The sequence below is a fragment of the Homo sapiens genome, chromosome X, assembly GCF_000001405.40.
Source record: "Homo sapiens chromosome X, GRCh38.p14 Primary Assembly".
Lineage (NCBI taxonomy): Eukaryota > Metazoa > Chordata > Mammalia > Primates > Hominidae > Homo > Homo sapiens.
In genome coordinates this window covers 74,241,787-74,260,088 of record NC_000023.11, presented here as the reverse complement: position 1 = coordinate 74,260,088, position 18,302 = coordinate 74,241,787, and the positions used below count along the sequence as shown (strand labels likewise).

The 18,302-nt window shown below is 38.9% G+C and overlaps 1 long non-coding RNA gene and 1 pseudogene across 1 annotated transcript in view, besides 1 other annotated feature; both read left to right on the top strand.

Moving 5' to 3' along the window:
- FTX (FTX transcript, XIST regulator) overlaps positions 1 to 18,302 on the top strand; it is a 265,439-nt gene that overhangs the window by 33,486 nt on the left and 213,651 nt on the right. The window lies entirely within an intron of this gene.
- Positions 9,688 to 10,248: an enhancer, noted in NCBI's record as "OCT4-NANOG-H3K27ac-H3K4me1 hESC enhancer chrX:73469676-73470236 (GRCh37/hg19 assembly coordinates)". NCBI's record gives its function as "activates a minimal SCP1, AML or CMV promoter by ChIP-STARR-seq in primed H9 embryonic stem cells {active_cell/tissue: H9 hESC(primed)}" and the evidence as "EXISTENCE:reporter gene assay evidence [ECO:0000049][PMID:30033119]".
- Positions 17,181 to 17,481, top strand: RN7SL648P (RNA, 7SL, cytoplasmic 648, pseudogene; annotated as a pseudogene).

Below are 18,302 nucleotides of genomic sequence, written 5' to 3'. Positions count from 1 at the left end.
AAGAAGGCCCGGGGCATCTCCATGTTTGGGTGGGCCCAGTTTCTAATGGCCTGCATTTGCATATCAATGGTTGCTGGCCTGGCTCTGAGAGCCAGGGCTTTGCAAGAAACTTTTCCAGAGGTGCTTTAACAAACAAAAACTTCCCAAGGACCCCTTTTCCTACAACATTCCCCCCTGTGGAGATGCCACACTAACTGCTGTTAGGGGGTTTGGGGCGATGACTCTTTCTGGCTACTTCCTGCTGAAAAGGGGCATCGAATGGGGAACAGCAGCTAAGGCTCCTTCTGGGGTCGATCTAAGGATCCTCGGAAGAATGGCGTGTGGTTCAGTTTACAGCACCATTTGAAGTTTGATTGCTTCTAGGCGAGAAGAAACAATTTGAGTTATAATATTGAGTATACAGGGTCCAAATATCAATACAAGACAGATAAGCAAGAGAGTGCTTAATAAAGGGGTTAACCAATTCCATAAAGAAGACTGGAATTTATTAAAGAGGGATTGTAGCCACTCGGGCTGAAGCTGGCATTTTCCCTGAGCCTGTCAATAATTTTGATTTGATTTCTAAGTACGCGTAGATTTTCCTCTACTTTACTAGAGTTGTTAATCCAAAAGCAGCATGTTTCATTTAAAACTACATTACTAAACCTAATAAAAAGTCCTAGCAGACTCAGTGATAGTAAAACTTTCATGCTTCCTTTTTGTCAACTATTATCCTTGCTATAAGGATAATAATTAAGCAAAATACTACAGCAATGGAAACTCTCTGTCCAATATTTCAGTTAGAAGGTGGTACCATGTGTAACGCTATTGCAAATAGTAGGGTGAGGACAGCAGTTCCCACAAATGTGGTGTGGCAGGTAATTTCCATCTAAAATTTTACTTGCCAAGATATTAGAATTCCCCTTTGGGGGTCTATGAAGTTCCCTGGTTTTATTTTCCCAAACAGAAACCTCCAGGTTATGGGCACTTACTTTAATTATCTGGCAGAATTTGCAAGATAATTGCCCAGAACTAGCATATTGATTCACATTTTTACCTTACCCATCCCTATTCTTTTATTCCAAGCTGCAGAAGATCACCACGTGATTCACAGGAATAAGCAAGGTTAGTCTAAAACATAGGCAAAAAGCTTAAAAACAATTAATGAGAGTAGGCTTTAATGACAAATTTATGATAAGCTTTGGGGCAAAATTTTTCTCTCCAGTCCTCATTTTTGGTAAAAACTATGAATAAACTTTAGTCTTATACTTGGCCTGATTATTTGCATAAAGTGCAGCAAGAATGGTTATTTTTACATAGGCCTTTTGGATTGGCTTTGATGAAACTCTGTTCCACAAGGAATTTCAGATAAGACTTAAAGCCGAGCCCAGCCATGGGTTGTATCCTTTAATACCTGTGAGTTGGGTGATCCTCTCCTCTTGAGTTCCCAAGATAAACTCTGAGCTTCTATACCTGTTAGAAAGTGACATTCTTTACTGACCACAGGTTAGGAACCCTGTGTGGGGACTGTGCAGACAAGGTATGAGGCCAGTTCTCCACAAGGGGCTTTTATTGGCTTTGCATGTCAAGCTTGATTCCTTAAAGGGAAACACACCCTTTCAGTCAAAGCCTTGGTAAAATAACCAGTTTTTCCAATTGTGTCCTGTTGACAAAGAAAAATGGATTCGTATTGCACTGATGCAAACAACTATATTGCCATAAATTAAGAGTACTCACAGATAGTTTCCAAATTCTAGGGGAACCAGGCAGAGAAAAGTAAACATGCTCCAAATTTTGTTCACAGGGGTATACCTTACTCAATCATTAAAGGCCATAAATAGTTTAAAATAACTTCCCTTGACTCTGAAAATCAAAACAAGGATTAGCAATATTCCAAGCAACAGTCAAAAAGGTTGCTTTAACTTTCTGAGTGTAGTCCACTTAGTTAACTTTTGTTTTGCTTGGTATTTGTCAACATGTCAATTCTTTGAGTCCTGTACATTCTTTATTTCAATGTTACAATCTTTAAGGCTATTAAAAACCTGCATTTAACAACACCTGTTAAAGTCCCTAATATAGCTTTATTATAAACTGTCTTTTGAGAAGGAACAAAGGAAGACAACAATTGTCTGCGAATGACAAATTTCCAGGATAGTTACAGTTAAATATATGACTAAGAAAGAAGTTTACTTATCTTCGTGGTTTACAATAACTTTACCCTTAATTATGATTGATAGCATATACTTAGACATTAGAATTTTAGAAATCTCATACAATTTTGGAACATATTAGTATTTATTCACCAAAATATAACTTACAACAATATAACTTTATAGCAATAAAGAAGATTGGACATCATTTTGGCAATCTCATGTGACTAAACATGTCAAGTGATCTTGTTTACCTCTTTTCTGAATATTTCAGGGGCCCTCTGAACCATCCAGAAAGCCAGGCAGCAGTAATGACAATTTCCAGATTGCCATAAATTATTTTGTAAAAATAACTCAAAAGGCAAAAGCCTTTCATCAGCCTTTACTATGATATGAAAATTTTGTTCAAAGCAAAATTTTTCCCTTGCATTAGTTTATTAATGTTAATTCCAGTTCGTTTCCATGAACCCTTATAGATTATCCCGTCTAATCCTAACCAATTTGACCATGAGGTGAAATCTTTACAAACCTTTTGTAACCCTTTTACTAAAGGGCAGATTAGTGTCTTAAGACCTCCTTGCTGTGCTTCTATTTTAATGCTTAATTCATGAAAAGACCGTATAGATGCTATGGGAGAAGATGGTGTAGTGCTTCTACCATGCATTTCATTGCAAGGCAACCCAAAGCCAATTGGCTTATTTTGTAATCAGCCCATCCCTGATGGGCGTCTCATCTCCCAGTGGGGGATGGGGATGTTTCCTTATCTTCCAGGTGGCCAAGAGCATGCTTCTCTGTTTTGTAACTGCTATTAGCCATCCCTTACTGTGTATTTTCTACCTAGTTATTACACACCAAAGCTCTCTCATAATGCAAAGTAATTTCTGATAACCCCCAAAACTCAAAACCGTCAGATAACACAGTGCAAAACAGAATAAAGCCTTTGATTTTGAGAGGGATCTATCTCCTTTTAATTCCTGGGGTTTCATGAGGAAAACAGGCTTTTTCTGAAAACAGGGTTTGCGGTGCCTCCTCTGTTTTTCCCCAGGAGTCCCATACTACCAGAAGTTATTTTAGGGCTTTTTATGCATGCATTAAGAGGGGTAAGACAAAAAACGGAGAAAATAATTCAGTCAACTGAGAAGAAAAGAGCCCTTTTCCAGAAAAGCAAGATTCAAGAAGAGAAAAGCATAAAGGCCTTTAAATATACCTATAACTTGAATATTTACTTTTAATTAAGCTGAGCACTCTTTAAGAAAATCCTTTTAAATCCCTTGTTACTTGACTTTAGCCACACCAAGCAGTTAAGATTTTCGGCTTTTGAACTTTACAGAAAGTACCCTTATAGGTGAAACCAACGAGCCTTAATTAGGTTATGATTTAATTACGAGTGTACAAGGTATTTTTAAAGGAGTGATAGACAGCTTTTGAAACTGTCATTGCAAAACTGTCACTGAGACAGTCAAAGAGATCCCACCCAAACAACTCCATTTTGTTTCCAGGTTTCCAGCCCTCAAGCTGTCCTTGCCCATCTCTGGGTGTAGGCTAAACCAACTTTGGGAGGAGCCTGGTTTACAGTCTATAGTCTAAAACAAAGACGATAACAGCGGCTTCCCAAGATATATTTCCCTCTTACCTGGGGACCAGTCCAAGAAACTAACCACAGGATTAGAAACCATGGCCCAGGAGCTGGAGGCCACAAGATTTTGACCCTCCCTAAACTGCTCTCAAGATCAGTACTTAAGATATTTTGTAAACCCTGCCCTTGATAGATCAGCTGGCACCACCCAGATTGACAAACTGGCTTATCTGATTTAGCACAAAAAGACAGCCACCATTGTAAAATGGCGGAGACTAAAACAAAGTATTGCCATGCAGTTACAGATGACATTCCCAAAGACATGAAACAAGATGGAGACCTGTAGCCGACTTTGCCACTGACCGCTTTGCTGGACTGGCTTGAACAGCAGGCTTATGGGGTCCTGGGCCTGCATCCTAACCTAAGATTCCCTTTCTTTGACAGAACCATACAGAAAGACATGCAAAGCACACAAGATTGTCTACAGCTTAAGGCCAGCCTTACAAATCCTTTTTCATTAGTTATACATTTACAGAGAACATCAACAGTGATCCTTATTATCCCTTTTACCGGTTTGCACAAGGAGAGAGAAGCCAAAAGCCCAACTGCTAAGAAATGTTTACCCTTTTGCCGGCACATCAGGCTTCTGGGTCCACTTTCCCCTAGCTCAACTCTATGCCAAGCATTTTAAGATTTGGCAAATTAACTTTTCCTAGGTTGGAACAACATTATAAAAGAGACAGAAGCCATTTTAAACCACAAAAGAAGGAAAAACACCTTAGAAAGGAGTTTCAATTAGGGTTGTTAAGAAGTAATACCTCTCTTCCTATTGGGAATGGTGTTTCCCCTATTTCTTTGCCTTCCCTATTTTTCTCTTTTCCCTTCTGGCCCACTATAGGAGACATATTGCTTATCTCCAAAATTTTCTTCTGCTTGCAGAGCTGCCTGTTTTAGCAGCAGTGAGGGTTTGACTTAGCAGCAACATAACATCCCTCCATATGAGGTCAAATACGTGAGTTAAATTTTGGAAAGCTTCTATATACCTATCAGGGTCGTCAGAAAATCAGCCTCAGTTTGCCTTTACTTGCCTAAGGTCATTAAAGGGGCCCAAAATAAGAGGGACCATCAGATGATTTCCTTGAAAGTTACTTTTTTAATTTTGGGGAACTAGTTTCCCTGGACCTGCCCGATATGGTTGCTAAAAGAGCTGGCTTGATCTTGCAATGTTGCAAAGGTCTAGTAAAAAGACCATACCCTTGTGCAAAAGAAAATAAGCCACTTTTTCTTCAAAGTTTCAAGGTCGAAGGAGTCCCAGTGCTTCAACATATACTCCATGGGAGTGCACATTGAAGACGATCTGTTACCCATCTAGAAAAAGAAGTGAGAATAAAAGCGTCCTTTTAGTCTCCTTCCTTTCAGTATGTGATCCAGGGTGGAGATGAAAACAATAGAGGGCATCCCCCCAACTATTTTCTCTCTGTTGCTCCAGGATTCCCGGCACCTGCTTAAATGTGCCACCCATGACTGCAGGTGTGACCCTCCAAGCTGTGGCACCAGAGGAACTGAGTTCCTTGGTCACGCTGTCCCCAAGCAATCAGTACTCTGCCTTTTATTTCCCTTTGACCTTCTAGACTTGCGTGGCCTGTGTGCCTTCCAAAACACGGATTTCAAGAAAAACCATGTAATTGGGCAAGGCCCCTTTAAGGGAGGGGGAGTGCTAGATTGAACTGTGTATTCTGCTATTATAGCCCATGCTAAAGCATTTACTCATGGAAGAATGGTTCTGGTTAACTTCCGGACTCAAAAATCCCCTTACTAATTCAGTACTGTCTTAATAGGAGACAAAATCAATGCCTTAAAGGAACGTAGGAGCCTAATGGCCGTTTTCCTGCCAGTGGGGACAATATCGAGACTAAAATTCGGCTAGGGAAGACATCTTACTCCTAACTGTTAAAAGCAAAAACTTCCCGTTCCCAAAAGAGGCCTAGAGCCTGATTTCTACTAGGCGGCTTAGAAATACCATGTGCTTGCCAGGGAAAACAGAGAGAGAAACATTTATTGAGTTACTGCCTGCCGTGATTCACGATCTTTTCTGACAGACCTGTTTTCCCTGAACTGTAAAGATTCCTGCACATTGAACACCCAGAGAGAGGGTAAGAGACCACCAATAGAAAGTTTGGTGACAGGGTAGCTGGAAGAAAGTCTTGAGATTAAAGGACAGATTTGAAGTTGAGATCCGCTCCATACTCACCAGTCTGATGATTGAATTTTCCTTTTCCCGCCCATGCACCAAAATGATATGGCTCTGATGAGTGGAGGAACACCAGGGTTCTTGTTCCTCAGGCTGGTTTAGATAAAACAACATGGACACATGTGGAGTGGTTTTAAGGAGTGGAGAGTTTAATAGGCAAGAAGGAAGAGAGAAGACAGATGGAAGAAGCTCCCCCTTACAGAGACAGAGGGAGGGGGGCACCAAAGCTGAAAGAGGAGGTCCCCCAAGTTCCTGTTTTTATTAGCCTGGAACTTGATAGTAATGACATTAACTGAAAGTAGGACATAAACTATATATTTTAGTTTAATATGTAAAAGGATCTTCTGCATCACTAAAGAAGAAAAGTGTCTTGCTGGGAATGAGATTAGGAAACAAATTTGGGAAATACCATTGTTCCTTTTTTGTGGAGAAAGGTACCCTGTCCAAAAAGAAAAATGTCTTGCTTTGCTAGATAAATGCACCGTTTTGCCTAAAAACCAGTGTAACATTTTATTCTAAGTCAGAAGTAATTACTGAGCTGTGGTTTTGTGTTCTGTATGTATAATCTCATTTATTGACAGTTCTAACCTAGTAATGAAAGTGCAACAGGAGAATTATAACCAGAAACATCTAACTGTTATATTATACATACATGTACTGTTTAACTGTAATTGTGAAAATGCATTTTGAAAGTTGGAAAAAAAGAAAGGTTGCCTCTATGGTTTGGCAGCTTAATACCGAAAAGTAGACAGTGTCTTGCGGGTCATAGATCATGGGACTCAACATAAAGTCATACAGCTAAGACTTGTTACAGCAACATAATAAGCATATATAGCCTTTCTAAGGTTAGCATAAGGGAAAAAGAGAAGGTAGAGTCTGGAGGAACCAGCGTGCAGGTCTCCTTATGCTCTCTCCCTCTCATGAGTGGTCATACAGAGCGCATTCTTGTAGCAATAAAAATTTGGCAACACGTGTGCCATGTTTCTGCTCGAGGAGCCCATTAGAGACTTGGCACCCAAAGTTTCTATTGTAGGTTGGTCCTGTAGGCACTTTCTGCTTTGCATGTACCAAAATTCCACATTCCCAGAAGGAAAGCAGGTATTCAACATGACCCACTTTTATTTGCACAAACAATCTAGTAAAAGGCCAACCTTGGCAGCAGGTCTTCCTAAGGATACTAGTCTCAGTCTGTGCACATAAGCTGAATGTGTAAAATGGTTAAATACTGGACCCTTCTGTAACTGATCACATGCAAACTGCTTAAGGGCAGAAGTGGGCCAGTTTAATAAGAATGAGTTTAAATACATGATTCCTGTTGTATTTGGGGCATGCTAAAAAATACTGGGAGTCCTTTAGGTTAAGTTAAAGACAATAACCTAAGCTTACAGGATTTTAAACAAAATCTTTGATATATTGGCTGTTTTTGTTTGCTTCCTTTTGCTCTCATACTATGCATAGAGTTACCTGAAAGAATTGTGTTAATTTAAAAATTTGGATGTCATTCCTTCCCCACAGTTTACTTGGAAATTGGTGTTCAAATATTTGGAAGGAGCCATTCTTTTTTTTTTTTTTTTTGAGACGGAGTCTCACTCTGTCGCCCAGGCTGGAGTGCAGTGGCGCGATCTAGGCTCACTGCAGGCTCCGCCTCCTGGGTTCATGCCATTCTCCTGCCTCAGCCTCCCGAGTACCTGGTATTACAGGCACGTGCCACAATGCTCAGCTAATTTTTTTGTATTTTTAGTAGAGATGGGGTTTCACCGTGTTAGCCAGGATGGTCTCGATCTCCTGACCTTGTGATCCACCTGCCTCGGCCTCCCAAAGTGCTGGGATTACAGGGGTGAGCCACCGTGCCCGGCCTGGCACCATTCTTTAAGAAAGAAGTACAAGGGAATATTAGATTTTTATTGTGTGGTTTCACATCAGTGTAATTAGAATATAGGAAATTTGTTTAAAATAATAGGCCTTTTCATTTGACGAGATTTAAAAACACAGATTGGCTGTGGTATCTGGGCATAATTTGATATAGATAATAGTATTTTCCTCCATATCGAAAATTGAGGTAAGTTTTATAACCTCTTTGATGCATTTTCCTAGTAGAGTTAAAAATGTTGAAGTATAGCCACCAAAACATTCATGTTGGTTATCCTTTTTTTTTTCCTTAATGAAAATGTACTACTTTGGTGGAAAAAAGTTAATAATTTCGTTAGTTGGTAGGTGAATAATGAGTGATAGAGACTGTTCTGACACCAATTGTCTGACACCAACTGGGTATCCTGCAATTCATTTCAATTCTGACACTAACTACCCAGAGTTAACACAAACTACCAGGCACACAAAGTGTTCATCCACCAGGAAGCTCCTTGAACTTTGAGTTTGCAGAGTTTTATTGGCCACATGATTAACTTCCTTCTCCAGCTCCTCTTTAATCTCTGAACATCTGGGGGTGTGGCTAAAAGTTCCAACCCTCTAACCATATGCTTGGTCTGTCTGGCATGGCCAGCTCGTCCTTTCAAACTATGTGAGGGCCTACCTTGAGTCACCCCCAAGTATAAACTCAGATATAGTCCAAAGGGGCTTCTTATGAATAACAAAGACACTTCCATTAATCAGGAAATTCCAAGCCTCTCTAAGCTCTGTACCAGGAACAGGAGACAAAGACTAGATTTATTCTTCATTATATGACAGATACATTTTTATATTTTGCCTCTGGTTTTAGTAAAGTTTTTGTTGTGAAGAACACAAATGCCAGATCAAATGAGGGGGCTGTAATTAGCAAGGCTGCAAGGGATTGTGAGCAGTAAGGGAGATAGGGATTTTACTGGAAATCCACCAAAGGAACTGGTATGTAGCTATGCCTCTCAGTAAGGGGAACTAGAAAGCTATTAGGAAATCAAGGCATCTGGAGAAACTATGTGTGTGTGCCCACCAACATGTTCATGTTTGCGCTGCATTTTTGCTTTGTCATCCTCTTGCCTCAGGTTGTTTTGCTCTCTTGTTTGACTTTCTATGCCCTTCTCTACCCTAGGGCTTCTACTTAGAGTTTCTGCTTCCACAGGACTCCTTACAGCTTAAGTTCTAGTTTATATGTGGCTATGCATATTGAAAACTTGGGTTCTTTTTTTGGAGACAGGGTTGTACAGGCTGTTGCACAGGCTGTATTGCGGTGGTGTGATCATAGCTCACTGCAACCTTGAACTCCTGGGTTCAAGTGATCCTCCTGCCTCAGCCTCCTACCACCCCCTGCTAATTTTTGTTATTGTTGTTGTTGTTAGAGAATGGGGTCTGGCTATGTTGCCCAGGTTGGTCTTGACCTAAGGGCCTCAAGTGATCCTCCCACCTCAGCCTCCTAAAGCACTGTGAATTTCAGGCATGAGCTTGAGTTCTTATTAACTGTCAGCCTGACTGGCTCTTTCCTAGCTAGGCTAGTCAGCTCGGCTGAGGAGTCAAGGGAGGACAGGCTTATTACTATGGAAAGCACTTCCAAAACATTAAAATGTTTCTCTTTAAAGAGTGTTTATCAATGCTCAAACCTGAACCAGAAAAAGAAAAAAGAAAAAAAATGGAAAAGAGTGCTTAAAATATTAAGGATATTAAGCATGTCAATCCTTTTCTTATTCCTAATACCAAAAGAAGAATTCCTAAGATAAAAGATTGATAAGTGTCATGACATGAAATTTAATTGAGTTTAACATATTTAAGTAAATATTTGACTTTTGATTTTGTAAGATCAGCCGGGAGAAAGGACAAGAGAGCAAGACCCAAGTTCAGGCAAGCTTTTATTAAACCCGCCGGCTGCTTTATCACAGACAAAGGAGGCAGCAGCAGCCAGCTTACAGAATGAGGGGTTTATATTGGGGAGGGAGTTTGAGGGAGTTCTTTGGTATGGCCGCATCCCGGGGTTGTTTGCTGGTTTATTCTGCCACATTATCACCTTGTGACGTTTATGGTACCGGAGATTGTAGGTAAAGTTTGTTTATGCTTCCCACGACCTCCCTCTGTGCGGTCCGGATGGTTTGTAATTGGGGTTTGCTTTATAGCAGCGAGGCCTGATAGGTAAAGTCTGCTGGCTTCACTGTGGCGCCTAGATAAGGGCTTAGAAATGTAAAAAGGCTTGGGGCAGCATGGAGAGGAGTTGCAGAGTGGGGAGGGGCAGGCAGCACCAAGAAGCTTCTTGAGGCAGTTTGTCCCTAACAGATTTATTTTCGGAAAGGAATTCTGAACTCTGAGACCAAATCAGTATATTTGTGTATATTTTTTCATATACTTCCAAAGTCTTTTAATTCTTAATTAACCTGATATTTAAGTGAAAAGGGTTTACTCTTTATCCTAGTTAATTACATATTCCATTTGTTAATGAAACTATCCTTTGCTCACTGCGTTGTAAACACATCTTTATCTTTCTTTCTTCAAACATAGAAGCCATAAAATAAGATTCATAAATGCAGCTACATAAAAAATATTTTTAAATATTTAAATATTAATATTAATTTTTTTAAAAATAAAATATTTTGTGTCAAAATGCTCTAAATGAAGTCAAAAGAGAAACAAGAAACTGGAAAAAATATTTGCAACACACATTAAGTGCTAATCTCCATTAATATATAAAAAGCTTCTAAAAAAATAAGGAAAATTAAAAGACCCTAGTTAAAAATGAGCAATGGTCATGAACAGATAGTTCCCAGGAAAACCAATGGCACTTTAATATATAAAAGCATGCTTAAGTCATTTATAGGAGAAATGTGAAAAACTACAGAAAGTTAATATTTGAGAACTTTGTTGGCAGGACTGTGGGAAAACTGGCACTTATAGAATGCTGGAATGCAAAATAATATAATACTTATGAAGGATACTTTGGAGATATTTATCAAAGTAATAGTTGCCCTGGGGAATCTCCCTGGGCTCTGGTGGGTGGTGGCTGTGGGGCTGCAGTTAGTGCGTCCAGGCCCTGTGGCTTGTTGGGCATGAGGCAGCATTCGTACACCTTCCAGGGTGGCTTTTCTTGCTCAGTTTCTGGAAAGGAGGAGGAAATGCTGCAGCTTCCACAGTACTTTTGCTTAAGACAAAGCCAGGGATCTGGAATTTCAAAAGAGCTGGGGATAGAAGGTTTGAGCTGGCCCCACCCAGCCCTCCATTTGACCTCCAAAGCAGGCTGTTTCCTGCTGCTGGCTGAGTAGAGGCGGCCTTCCTGGAGGGAAGGGAGAAAAAAAAATTAAAGTCGCCTTTATTTGATCTAGTGAATCCTCTTCTAAGAATTATCCTACATAGCTGAAAAAGTGAAACAAGTTGTATATGTAACATTGAAGAATATTTTATAATAGCAAAAGGTTGGAAACGATCCAGGGGCTCATCAATAAGGGACTGGATAAACTGGTAGATTCTCACAATGGAATACTAGAATGCTTTAGAAATGAATGAGGTGGCAGTCTATGCAGTAATAGAAAATTTGAAGGCTATATTAAGTGAACAAAGGCATATAAAGATAATACATATAATGAGTTTTCTTCTGTGGAAGAAAATGGGTGAAACATATGTTTACTTATATTTTTTAAACATATAGCACTGAGATATGAAAGCAGTTACCTCTAGGTGCTAGGAGAATGGGGCAGGTGTATCCAGAGTGAGAACAAAAATTTTCTATATACAATGTTTGGAAGATCCAGGTGATTTGTTTTTCCTTTTGTGTGTGGTAAAATATATATAGCATAAAATTTACCATTTTAATCATTTATAAGTTGCAGTCCAGTGGCATTTCTTTTTTTTCCTTTTTCTTTTTTTTGAGACAGTCTCACTGTGTTGCCCAGGCTGGAGTGCAGTGGCAAGATCATGGCTCACTGTAATCTCGACCTCCTGGGCTCAAGCAATTCTTCCACTCCTTCCACCTCAGCCTCCTGAGTAGCCCGTGCCACCACGCCTGGCTAATTTTATTTTTTTGAGACAGGGTTTCCTTTTGTCACCCAGGTTGGAGTGAAGTGGCACCATCTTGGCTGGCTGCAACCTCCACCTCCTGGCCTCAAGTGATCCTCCCACCACAGCCTCCTGAGTAGCTGGGACTATAGGCGCAGGACACCATTCTCCACTAATTTTTTAATTTTTTGTAGATATGAGATTATAAGTTGTTTTAAAAAAAGTAATATGTGCAAATGGTAAATAGTACAAAATTCAATTTGTACTAAAGTTGTTTTAGTTAAAAGTCTTCTTTCTGCTTTTAGATTCCCAGTTCTCAATCTTCCTTCCTCCTTACAAGATACAAGCAACCTTCAACCTTCCCAGAGATGGTCTCTGTATATGAAAGACAATGGTCTTATTATGAAGTCGGCATATTTATAGCTTGATAAAAACTGAAAAATCTGTAGCCTATTTTTAATAGTGATATATAAGGAAATAACATAAATAAAAATTTGGCAACAAGAATCCAGGAGCAAATTTATGATCAATACACAATTGGGCAAGTGGTGTTCATACCAACCATGCAAAAATGGTTCAATTTTAGGAAATCTTTGAATATAGCTTTTAGTAGGTCAGAGGAAATCAGTATCTCAAAGTACTTTCATGATTTAGTTATTTTTAAGTTATTGATCATTTTGGATTTTATTTTGAGGTTGATAGCCATATAATGATTTCACATTTTATTTTAAATGGCTAGCTGTTGTCCCAATACTATTTACTGAAAAATCTACATTTTGCTCACTCTTTTTTTTTTTTTTTAAGAGACAGGGTTTTACCATGTTGCCCAGGCTAGATTTGAACTCCTGGGCTCAAGTGATCCTCTCGACCCAGCCTCCTGAGTATCTGTGACTGCAGGCAAGTACCCCTGTGCCTGCTCACTTATTTAAAGTTCTACACATCAAATACTAAATTCTCATCTATTTGACTTCTGGACTCACTGGTTGGTGTCATTGACTGTCTTTTCCTGTGATAGCATAGAATTATTTTGATTGTGGAAGTACTATAAATGTTGCTATTTATTGTGCCTCTTGCTGCCTATCTATATTTAGACTCATTTATGTGATGCCATTCTGTATACTCTAAATTTTTTGGTTCTATTTTAATAATGTTTGAGTCAATGACTTTTCATGACTCTTGACTTCCCTACTTCAACAGTTTACTAGTCTCCATCTTGAATGTTTTTATTAATCTATTTTGTGTTAATTCTACCCAGGTTTTTTGTTTTTCCTTGCTACTATTATATATATTTCTGCCAGATGTCACATGGTATAAATGCCTATATGGACTTTTGTAACAGAAAATTTACTTACTAGAATTAATGTAGGGGGCTTTTTAATAAGAGTGCATGTAACATAGTAACAGTAGCAGAGCTATATCAGAAACAGTTCTGATAATATTTCATGATCTATAGTTTGTTGCATGCCCATTGCTTCATACTGCTTGTGTTCTTGGTTGAGTCATAAGTAATTTTTATGGGGTGTGTCATGACTGTCATATTCATAGAGAGTTGTCTGCCTTGCCCCATGGTCTTTGCATGGCTTAAACAGGACCCCTTTTCATACACAAGTCATTCAATTTTATGTTTTTAATAGCATCAATTTTAGTGTTTAACATGTGTCTCTGGACTATGCATCAGAATACTTGACTGTTAGTGTGAAATGAAAATTCATGGATATCATAATTTATGTAACATAATTTAACATTTCTTTATTAATAAGACTTTAGATTGTCCCTTTCACAAAAAAATGGTGCGGTTAAAACTTAATCCTTGTGTCTTTTTGTGAGTAGTTCTATGATTTCTATATGATGGCATCCTTGAAAAAGTTGGTAAAAATAAGAATAGTTCTTATTTATTAAAGTTCTTCTCAAATTGCTCTTCCAAAACATTTTAGTTTATACTGCAATGTTAACCATTTTACACTTGCTTAAGTAATTTTCTTCAAATACACACGAGTCCAGGCTATTTAACCTTATTTTACCGCTATAGCACAAAACAGGTTTTCCAAAATTGTCCTTGCACACCTGGGATTTTACAAGGATATTATAATCTTGGTTCAGTTTGACTTACTGAATTTGTAGTAAGTATATTTTAGCACATAGAAAATTCAAAATATGTGTTAATCTGTTTATAGGGTAAATTTTTATGAGGGTGGATGTCATCCTGTTTTTTTTTTTTTTAATAAATGTTTTGTTTCAGAATGTTTTTTATTTACAGAAAAGTTACAAACATAGTACAGAGAGTTCCCAAATGCTCCACACCGAGTTTTCCCTATTGTTTTTTTTTTTTTTTTTGAGATGGAGTCTCGCTCTGTTGCCCAGGCTGGAGTGCAGTGGTGCAATTTCGGCTCACTGCAAGCTCCGCCTCCCGGGTGCACCCCATTCTCCTGCCTCAGCCTCCGGAGTAGCTGGGACTACAGGTGCCCGCCACCGTGCCCGGCTAATTTTTTGTATTTTTATTAGAGACGAGGTTTCACTGTGTTAGCCAGGATGGTCTCGATCTCCTGACCTCGTGATCCGCCCGCCTCGGCCTCCCAAAGTGCTGGGATTACAGGCCTGAGCCACCGAGCCCGACCAGTTTTCCCTATTGTTAATATCTTGAATTAGTATAGTACATTTGTCTCCTTCTCCTTTTTGCCCTTGGTAACCTCTAATCTACTTTCAGTCTCTGAATTTGCCTATTCCAAATATTTTGTATAAGTGGAATCATACAATATTTGTCCTTTTGCTTCTGGCGTATTTCACTTAGCACAATGCCTTCAAGGTTCATCCATGTTATAGCATATGTCAGAACTTTATTCTTTTTTATAGCTGAATAATATTTCATTGTGTGTATATGCCACATTTTGTTTATCATTCATTTTGTTTATGTACCATGTTTTGTTTATATACATCTATTAGTATGTATTTGTTTAGATATACAATTTGCTTGTATACCACATTTTGTTTTTCTGCTATCTAATGGATTATGCTGCTCTGGAACATTCATGTGATGCTTTTGTTAATTGCTTATACATTTTATTAAGCTAATGAGCTTGGTCATAGTAACATATAAAATCAAGAATCGTTTAACTTTTGCAATAAAAATCTTGATGTTGACTCTGAAGTAGTAAGATGCAACTTCAATGTACTGGGATTGAGGCAGCCATAGCAATATTACCACAGGTTTTCCAAAAATTAACACAAATATTTTCTATTCTAGATGTGATATCTTTGGCATCACTGTTCATTCTTTTCCTCCTTGATTAAAGTGAAACAATTACATTAAAATAGTTTTATGATTTAAAAATCATTCTTTTTTTAAGCTATTATTTTTAATGTAGGTCAGTGTGTTATGTAAATTGATGTCCACTACCTGAACATGTGATGCTTTCTCTTTTATTCCTTGGTATTTCCTCCATATTCTCTGAGGGCCTTCAGTCAATTTTTTTAAAGGAAATAATAAGTTCAAATATGTATCTATGACTTAGGGTTACAAAGAATATTTTCTTTGCCTCCAGTATACTTTGTATTAAAAAAATTATAAAAGGCCATAGGTATTCATTTTCAAATATTTGAAAAAAAAAGGCATGGCACAATTAAAGCATATGCAGAACCAACTTGGATTATTGCTATATTTCTTTCTTTCTAGTGTGTACGGATATTGATGACATTTTTAGGTGGCTCTTAACAAGAACATTTTCCTCTCTTTAGATGTGAATGCATAGAATTCTTTCATTTGGACCAGGATCGTTTTAAAACATTTCCTTTATTTTTTGATTAAATTTTTTTCCTTTTAAATATTAGGACTTAGTTTTTTATTAAATTTGAACATAATATATTTAACATACTTACGGATACATTTTTGTGGGCATATTTCTCTGACAATTTCTCTTATTACAAACCAAACTTGTTAGTGACCTGATTTTGTGTGTGTGTGTGTGTGTGTGTGTGTGTGTGTGTGCGCGCATGCGCGCGTGTTTTGCATTTCTATTCTTTGTTTTCTAGTTTCATCCCTATGCTAGGACATGGCTGTGTTCGTTTCTCTTTCACTAGATTTTTTTAATGACTGTAAGGTTATTCTACGCTTGTAATCTGCTTTTGCAGTACTTTTCCATCAAAAACAACTGTGTTACTTCTCATTTAAATATTTATTTATTTATTTTTGAGACAGGGTTTCGCTCTGTCACCCAGGCTGGAGTGCAGTGTCGTGATCTTGGCTCACTGCGGCCTCTGTCTCCTGGGTTCAAGCAATTCTCCTGCCCCAGCTTCCCGAGTAGCTGGGACTACAGGTGGACACCACCACTCCTGGCTAATTTTTGTATTTTTAGTAGGGACGGGGTTTCACCATGTTGACCAGGCTGGTCTCCAACTCCTGACCTCAAGTGATCTGCCTGCCTCAGCCTCCCAAAGTGCTGGGGGATTATAGGAATAAGCCACTATGCCCGGCCTCATTTAAATATCTCTTAATCATCTTTTACCTGTTTTTCCATTCTAAGCAGTGCATTCTTTTTTTTATAGCAGTCTTTTGATAACAATAGCTAAGAGGCCAGGCACGGTGGCTCATGCCTGTAATTCCAGCACTTTGGGAGGCTGAGGCAGGCGGATCACCTGAGGTTGAGAGTTCGAGACCAGCCTGGGCCAACATGGTGAAACCCCGTCTCTACTTAAAAAAAAAAAAAAAGAATTAGCTGGGTGTAGTGGTGCATGCATGTCATCCCAGCTACTCTGGAAGCTGAGGCATGAGAATTGCTTGAACCCAGGAGGTGGAGGTTGCAGTGAGCCAAGATCGCGCCACTGCACTCCAGACTGGGTGACAGACTAAGAGAGTCTGTCTCAAAAAAAAAACAAAAAACAAGCAAACAAAAACCTCCCAAGAGTTAACATTAACTGAGCATACATTAAATGGTAAGTGTCACACACTGTTCTATGTATGCATAGCTCAGTTTTTAACTTAGGAAGTAAATTCTAATAATATTCCTTATTTTTTTCTGATGGGGTAATTGAGGGCAGCTACTCTCAGTAACATTGAACCCGATAGCACATAGTGAAGACTCATTATCTTTATCAATGATGTGTCAGTTGGAGGTAAAAATTAGGTCCTTTTCAATATCCAGTGGTGACTGTGCTCCTAGGAAGATCAGCCAAGGATACACAGTCCGAAAAGTTTATAGCTTAGGTAGGTAGGATTAAGTGCAGTGCCTCTCTAGTACACACCTGGATGTGACTCTTGTGTCCACATGTTTTTCAAACCTGGCAGGAACAATAACCCCATTCAGAAATGACTTCTAAAAAGGCTATTTTTGCGGGCTTGCAGGCATGCACTTGTAGCCCTAGCTACTCAGGAGGGTGAGGAGGGAGGATTGCTTGATCCCAGGAATTCTGAGCTGTAGTGAGCTATGCCGATTGGATTCCTGCACTAAATTTGGCATCAATATGGTGACCTCCCGGGCACGGGGGATCACCAGGTTGCCTGAGGAGGGGTGAACCAGCCCAGGTCGGGAATGGAGCGGGTCAAAACTCCCATGATGATCAGTAGTGAGATCATGCCTGTGAATAGCCATTACACTTCAGCCTGGGCAACATAGCAAGAATCAATCTCGCTCTCTCTCTTTTTTTTTTTTTTTAAAGAGCCAACCTTAGGAAGAAATGCCTTTTTTTTTTTCTTTTTAAAGGACATTTCTTCTAAGGTTGGCTTGTTTTAGGGATAGCCAAACCTACAGGTTGTTCTAATTGATATACTCATCTCACCAACACTAATGTTACTATTGTTTTTATTACATTTCAAAGAGGTCATCAAATCAATAAAAGTTCAGAACTTGGCAAGAATGGCTAGCCAGTAAATTCTAGACTTTCTCTTTGAACCCCCATGTCTTACAATGCAAGAATGTAACCTCTTAATTGCTCTATTTGTATTACATTGTCATCTTTGGACTTTCCTGGATACCCTTGATCTCTCTGGTATTTCCTGTTATGGTGAGTCTGTCCTAACAGCCTTATTTATAGACATGTTTTTGCACATTAACCACACTCCATGGAAGAAGCCCTTTAACATGAGACTTGTTCCTAAGTACTCCACTGGCTTACCAAGTATAGGATTACCCTTTGATTACTTTATCTGGCTACCAGGACAGAGAGATTCTTGGGAGCCAACCAGCCATCAGGTCAACTATTTTGCTACAGATACTGCTTTCTGGGTTTAGTCCCCTGTACTTTCAGGTCTTCAGCCTCAGTTTGACTTCCTGGCTTCTTCAGTGAGGATTTTAGAGTTATGTCAGGTGAGGAATCAATCCATCCAGTCTGAAATGTTGCTGGGAGGAGGGCTGTCTTTCTGTAACAGGGGAAAGTTTTATTTATTTGAACTACAGAATAAGTTATAGACTATAATGCATTGTACAATTGTTTGATTTTAAAGAAAACTCAT